This window comes from Homo sapiens, chromosome 12, assembly GCF_000001405.40.
Source record: "Homo sapiens chromosome 12, GRCh38.p14 Primary Assembly".
Lineage (NCBI taxonomy): Eukaryota > Metazoa > Chordata > Mammalia > Primates > Hominidae > Homo > Homo sapiens.
Window position 1 is genome coordinate 88303127 of NC_000012.12, and position 7531 is coordinate 88310657.

General features: G+C 36.1%; 1 annotated feature.

Annotated features, from left to right (window-relative positions):
* Nucleotides 4483-4683: a silencer, noted in NCBI's record as "peak1869 fragment used in MPRA reporter construct". NCBI's record gives its function as "represses an SCP1 promoter by STARR-seq MPRAs in K562 erythroleukemia cells {active_cell/tissue: K562}" and the evidence as "EXISTENCE:reporter gene assay evidence [ECO:0000049][PMID:32103011]".

Consider the following 7531-nt stretch of genomic DNA (forward strand, 5'->3'; position numbering starts at 1 on the left):
TCATAGGGCTAGTGAATGGCAGAACAGTATTTAAATCTTGAAAATCTGATTTAGAGTTTGCCCTCCCAACCAATTTGTTATGCCTTTGTCTAATTTTATCGAGTCAATTAAATGAAATGAATGCTTGGCAGCCCTTGTGTCTAAATTTGTGACAGAATTTATCTACTTACCTTGTATTAGGATTGTTAGACTCAGACAACATAAGGGAAATCTATTGTCATTAGCCCACATAGACACTATTCCAAGTCCATAACCTCAAATTAAATTGTCAATGCTGCCATGCATGGCAGGAGCCAAGAGAATCTTTCTAGACCTTGATCTTTATCTTTTATAATAAAAGTCTTAGCTGGTGGTCCTGCTGCTGCCAATTCCATTTCACACTGTGGTAGATCCTCCACAGCTGCTATTTTGATCTCACTGATGTAAATGTTGTCATTACCTCCACCATATCTTGGAACAGATTCCATGCTCCAGGCACCAGGTGGGCACAATGAATCTAGAATCTGACTTCCACACTTCCTGAGGCAAAGTTTTCTTTTTCTTTGGAGCTGGGGTTCTATGTTGGGGCCAATTCTCTGCCCTCGAGTGCTCATGACACTCTTCCCTTGGAGAGAATTTCACCTTCAGCCACGAAAAACTTCATCTTCATTTCTCTTAGTTTTAGTCCCTGAGAGTTAACTTCATTTCCTCTCTCAAATCCCACCATTAGCCTTTTCTATTTTACTTTGATATTTGCATTTACTAATCATCTATCATTATAATAACACTACATAACAAACTCAAATCTTAGTGGCTCATAATCACATATACAGTTGGCCCTCTGTATCTGTGGGTTCTGCATCCAAAGATTAAACCACAAATCAAAAATATAGTGTTCACAGGATGCAGAACCTATGAATTTTGAAGGTTGACAGAGGGCTGACTTTTATGTGTTGGTTCTACAGGGACAACTGTGGGACTTGAGCATCTGTGGCTTTTGGTATCCATAGAGGGTCCTGGAACAAATCCCTCATGGATATCAAGGGAGAAATATTCAAATATATATATATGTCACACTCATGGGTTTGTGGGTGAGGCGAACCTTGTCTCAGTTTATTTGGGCTTGGCTGGATGCTATAGTTTGATTTCAAGTATACACTACATGTCTTATATTTGGACCGTGGTCTTCTTGGGGGTATTCTGTTGTTATGACAATAGCAGGATTGCAAGTATAGAAGCTGGTGGTAGTTAATTTTATCTGTCAACTAAACTAGACTAAGGGATGCCCATATAACTGGTAAAATATTACTTTTTGGTATACCTGTGAGAGTGTTTCTGGAAGAGATTAGTATTTGGACCAATAGAATGGGTAAAGAAGATCCACCCTAGCCAATGTGGGTGAGCAGCAGCCAATCAACTGAAAACCCTAATAGAAAAAAAAAAAAAGGAGGAGGAAGGGCAAGTGTGCTCACTGTTTTTTTGAGCTGGGGTATTTGCCTTTTCTAGTATTTGGACATCTGAGAGCTCCTGGTTCTCAGGCAATCAAACTGTAGAACATACACAGGTACCTCTCTCTTCCCCCTCCCATTTCTCAGGTCTTGGCCTCAGACTGGGGGTTACACCACCAGCTTTCCTGGTTCTCCAGCTTGCAGACAGCAGACGGCAAGACTTCTTGGCCTTTAGAATTATGTGAGGCAATTCCCATGAGAAATATACTTTTTATATCTATATAAATCCTATTGATTCTACTTCTCTAGATAACCCTGACCAACGCAAAGCCAAACCACACAGGCTCATTTAAAATTTCTGCTCACATTATGTCCACTGGCCAAAGCAAGTTGCTTGCTTGACTCAGCTGTATATCAATAAAGCTAGAAAATATATTCTACTTGCTCTAATGGAGGTACTCCCATACCATGTGGCAAAGGTTATGGATGGTTCTACCACAGGGAAGAAATAAAGAATTGGGAAAAATAATTCTATGTATTACTAAAATAAATGGAATTAATGTGTTCTAAAGTCCCAAAATTACCAGGTAAGTATAAAAGATGGTATTTTTGTACTAGGTGAGTCCAAGATAGTTGTAGTAACATCTAGAATAGTCAAGAAAAGAATAGTAAAATTATGTGTATGGCATTAAAGGTTGAAACAAAGCTCCTCTAAAAATCTATGAATCTTTAAATCTTAAAACCTTTAACTTTAAACCCTAAACTCTATGTATAAATTTGAGGTAAGACAGAGCATACAGTCAAGACAGAGGTGATCTGGAATCTGGGTGACTGCAAAGATAGATTCATTAAGTTAAATCTCATACGATATCTGTATTATGCAACTCCACTTTAGGCCTCCAGGTTTGAGCATTATTACCTGAAATCTTCTTGTTGGCAGAACATTTTTTTTTTCACCTTTTAAAGGAGAGAATCCTCTTTCAAAAGAAAACTAAACATAATTTTTTATGATGTAAGAAGATCCGTGTGCTTAGACAAGCTTGAGCATGAATATTTTGCCCTAGTAATTCAAGCAATTCCTTTTGTGCCATTCAGAAAAAGGTCACACATAGCTAACAAGATAAGCCTGCGCATATCAAACAGTGAATATTTGTGCTCTGCTACATTTATGTTGGCACTTCTCTCGGCCTTAAGAGTCAAAGGGCAAAGGAATAAAATAGCTGCCTGTGTGTTCTGCTATTCATTACAGATTTTCCATCTGTATTTAATATTCATTGGAGCCAGGTCAGCAAAGAGGTCAAAGATCAGCAAGAACACATCATATTAGCTACGACTCAGGGTGCTGATTAAGAATCAAGAGTAACAAAATTTTGGCTACATTCAATCAGAAGTCATAATCAGAATGTATTTTTAAAAATACATTTTATTGTGTATATTTGAGGTTTACAATTATTATGGGATACATATTGGTAGTAAAATGGCTACTACTATAGCGAAGCAGATCAACATATCTATAATCTCACATAGTGAAGTTTTTTTAATAAAGAAATAAAGCAGCTAAAACCTAATTATTTAACAAAAATCCTTAATACAAGTTTAGTATCTTCAGTTCTTATGTTGTACATTAGATTTCTAATCATGTTCACCATAAAAATCTTCTATGTGTTTTTATTTAAAGAATGACTAAAAACAGAACCCTCTTTAAGACTATCATTGCAGTTGAAAAGTAAAGAATGGTTTAAACATAATGAACTATTAGACCATAAGCTGCTTTGTATCTTTAAAGAAATATACTGAGGTAACTTTGGACTGGCTAAAACAGCACAAGATGATCTAGTACAGCAGTTTGCTACCTGTTACTAATGATATTTTAATGACCACTATAGCTCATTTAATCTGTCTGGTTCCTTCCAGCCAAGAATGCACCTCAGTTATCTTTCATACGTATGTGTTCAATCAAATCAAACACATTTCTGACTCTCAAACATATTAGTACATATATTATTGTGTATTAGTAGCTCATGCCAAAATTTTACAAACTCCCTTTCCAACTGTGGCTTTTTATCGAGGAACTGAATTCCACCTTTGAGAGTAACTTGTTTGCTTTCTCCTATCTTGCTTTTAGAGAGTAGAACATCATGGAATTATAAATTTAAGATTTCTAATCTTATCTTGACTTTAGCTCCATGGAAAACCTTTCACTTGTATTTTGTAAATTTTCCTTCTGATTAGTCTCTCCAATCCAATCCAAACCTATTTACTTTCCTTAACCTCAGCCTGACCTCACCCTAAACTCAGCAGATAACAATGCCTCTTCTTATCAGAGAAAGCAGTAACTCCTTCATCGTCCTCACTCTCTTACTGTAGGCTTACGTGTACACCACTTTCACTCTTAGAGCAAGAAAGAACTTTCTGTTCACTGCATCATGCACTGGACGATCAACCATTTAAAATGTCCTCTTTCATTTATTTAATTGAAGAAATCTCTGACTATACCTGGAATTTAAGTTTTCTTGCTCCTAAAACTACTCTGTCTCCTGAATTGTCCAAGTCAATGATGTTGCCTAGGCTTCTAGCTGAAAATCTTCTGGGCCTTCCTGACTTCTATGTTGCATGACTTGCCCCCGTTATTCCATCCTCCTCCCATCCTAGAGGGATGATATAAACTCACCCATCTAGTAACTAAACACTATGAGTTCTATCTAAGAAATGGTTTTCAATTTTGTCCATTTCTTCATTTCCACTGTCACTGCTTTCTTCTAGATTGCTTATAGTTGCTCAATTGAGCTTCAGCAACTATTTCCTAACTGGATATTCTTCATTAGTGTCTCTTTTTAGTCCAGGTCACTTTCTTCATGGCAGTGTAAGTTCATTTTGAAGAAAGGAAGAAGAGGAGAGAGGGAAAGGGGAGAGAGAGCACACATGCACGACAGAGAGAGAGAGAAAGAGAAAGAGAAAGAGAAAGAGAGAAAATTAATCACATTCTTCTGCTTAAAAAGTTTTTCTGGTATCTTGTCTTCAGGAAAACATGTAATTTTTTTGGCTTACTCCAGATTGTCTTTCACATTCTCTAGTGAATTTCTCATTATGCTGTCATGATCCTATTCCTTGATATGTACCCTACTGCTCTTCTCAAGAAAAGTCTTGGTGTTTTTTGGCCAAGCCAGGTGTGTTGACAAATTTATGGCCTCTGCTATGTTCCCTCTGCCACTACGACCTGCACTTTTTCATCAGACATATTCTGCTCAACTTTTCCATTTCCAGCTGTATTAGTCCATTCTCACACTGCTGTAAAGACATAATTACAACACTGGGTAATTTATAAAGAAAAGAAGTTTAATTGGCTCACAGTTCCACGTGGTTGGGGAGACCTCAGGAAACTTATAATCATGGTGGAAATAAAAGGGGAAGCAAAGACCTTTCTCACATGGTGGTAGGAGAGAGAGAGAGCGTGTGTGAGGGTGCAGGAAAAACTGCCATTTATAAAATCATCAGATCTCATGAGAATTCACTCACTATCATGAAAACAGCACGGGGGAAACCACCCCCATAATCCAGTCACTTCCCACCAGGTCTCTCCCTCAACACCCAGGCATTACAATTCACGATGAGATTTGGGTGGGAACACAAAGCCTAACCACATCACCAGCTCAAATGCTGCATTCTTAGGGAAGCCTTTTCTAACATCTTCAGGCAGCATTTTGAAACCCTTTATGCTCTCATACCACGTATTCATATCTCTATTTTACTTAATTTTGAATTGCAATGTATCTGTTTCAATAATCAGCTGTTTTTTATAGCATCCTGTTTATACCTGTGCCTTAAAGTTTGTTAATACTGTAATCACTTCTTTATATTCTAAATCTCCACTAGAGTGTGAGCAGTTTTAGGCAGGGTCTGTATCTGTCTTCTTTATTTCTTTATCCCCAGAAACTATCATAAATTTAGTACATAGCAAATGTTCATATGTATTTGTGGAATAAAAGAATCCATTCATTTCTCTCCATTCTTTTCTACAGAGAGAAGGGGTCTTTTCTCCCTATTTTTGCTTTTTCTTAGTATCTATGCCTGTCACATAAGATGCATTCATACATGTTTATTGAATGAATTATCTGTGGCTGCATTGCAAATTTATTTCTTTGAACTGGTTTTTCAGAAAGAATAATACTTAATTTAAGAGCTAAAGACATGAAAAAAATTTTCATTGATGTAACTTGGTCAACTACATTCTTTATACATCTCAATTTTTCTGAGTCTCCTCTTAAGGACAATCTTTGAATTTTAGAGCCATTGAGATGACTAAATCAGTAATTGTGAGATCATTACTTTACTCCCCATTACATTTTTAAACCTATTTTAAGTACAATAAATTCTACAGGCACTTAATTTTGGAAGTAATGCATGGCAAGAGGTTAAATAATCAGTGAAAAGAGAGGACAATGCTCTGACTCACAAATACCATTCCTTTTTATCAATTATTCTGGCTCCTGGAGGTCTTCTCTTTATAGTTTGACCTATGAGTTGTGTAAGTTTGGCAGAATAACAATGTGCTGATGCACATACAACATCAAGTGAAATCATCTCATGGGAAGAACATGATATTTTGTTGTATAGCTTATGGAATTTTGTAAGAAGTACATTTTGTTTCTTTGTCATAGCTTCAAAACATTTTTTTCTTCTTATATAGGTTGATTCCTCCAAACTAAAATAAAAAGATTTTCTTTATATCTTGTATATTGTCAGGCTAATTATTTCTAACAACCAACATATATTTATTGAATATTTACCATGTACCCATTACTGCAGAAGACTTAAAAGCAATGTCATATAAATCCAAGTTTCTGACCTCCTCCAGGGGCTGATAGTTTTCTTAGAGACACAATATCTTGCCATAAAATCACCCTTCCTTCCTTCCTTCTTTCCTTTCTTCCTTCCTTCTTTTCTTCCTTCCCTCCTTCCTCCCTTACTTTCTCCCTTCCTTCCTTCTTTCCCTCCTCCTTCTCTTTCTCCTCTTCCTTTTTCCTAATTAGAGGATTCTATTTGTGTTTTAGTATATATTTATATTTAGGACATTGGAGTATAATATTTACTTTAACTCCTTCAATCTTTATCTAACACTCAGCTATTTTTGAGTTCTGCAGAAGGAAATGAATCATCATCTGGAAAAACTGATTTCCTTCCCACGGTCCTAGAGACAAATCGAAATGACCAGTCCCAATAAAAAATTGACTATTTTTCCATCTAACATTAAATTATGGTCTAAAATTGGGAGATAAGAGTATGACACATAAATATAAATAAACAAAAGTGTATATTCATTTTGCATGGAACTACTCAAATTTGCAACTCAATCTTTAGAAATAAAAATGGTTTAAGAAAAGTTTAGGTTTTCTCAGAAAGAGTGTCAGTAATTTTGGCCTTAGGGTGAATTGACCTAATCAAAATTACTTCCTCTAATTTACCACTATTAACAGCACTGCCTTCACAAACTGACATACTACACCAGTTGAGAGGTATGTGACAGCTTTGTTACTGGTGATACTGCTACTAATGCTAGTAATAATTATACTTTAAAATTAGAGATAATTCATGTTTTAGGCCAATATCCCTTTTCATCTTCTGCATCCTGAAATAGTTTCTTGAGAGAAGAGGAAAGAGTTGTAGCTCTCATGCTTGGAATGCCCATGGGAGTGTGAGGCAGACTCAAATTTCAGCTGGTACATGTGTCACAGTTGAACATGTTGCAAGTCGTAAGTGAACATCCTGAAACTTTGAAAAGAAAGTATGAGAGTAATTTTGGAGAATGGGATAGTGACTAAATGAGGCAAACATGGGAGAAGAGAGCAAATAGAGAGTATAAGGGTGGATGCCTTGATAAAGAGACCAAAAGCAAAGAAAGGAATACCAAAAGAAGAGTTAGAAAACCATTGAAACAAATAGACTACTTAATAATTTTAATTGAAGCAGGACTTGCCATTTTTTGGAAGATGACTTTTGACTACTGCTTCCTTTTCTTTCATGATATTAGTTGTTTTTTACTTGGATAAGTTTTGATCACTTTTTTTCAAAAAATTTTCTAGATTTCAACATGCACATACCAGGTT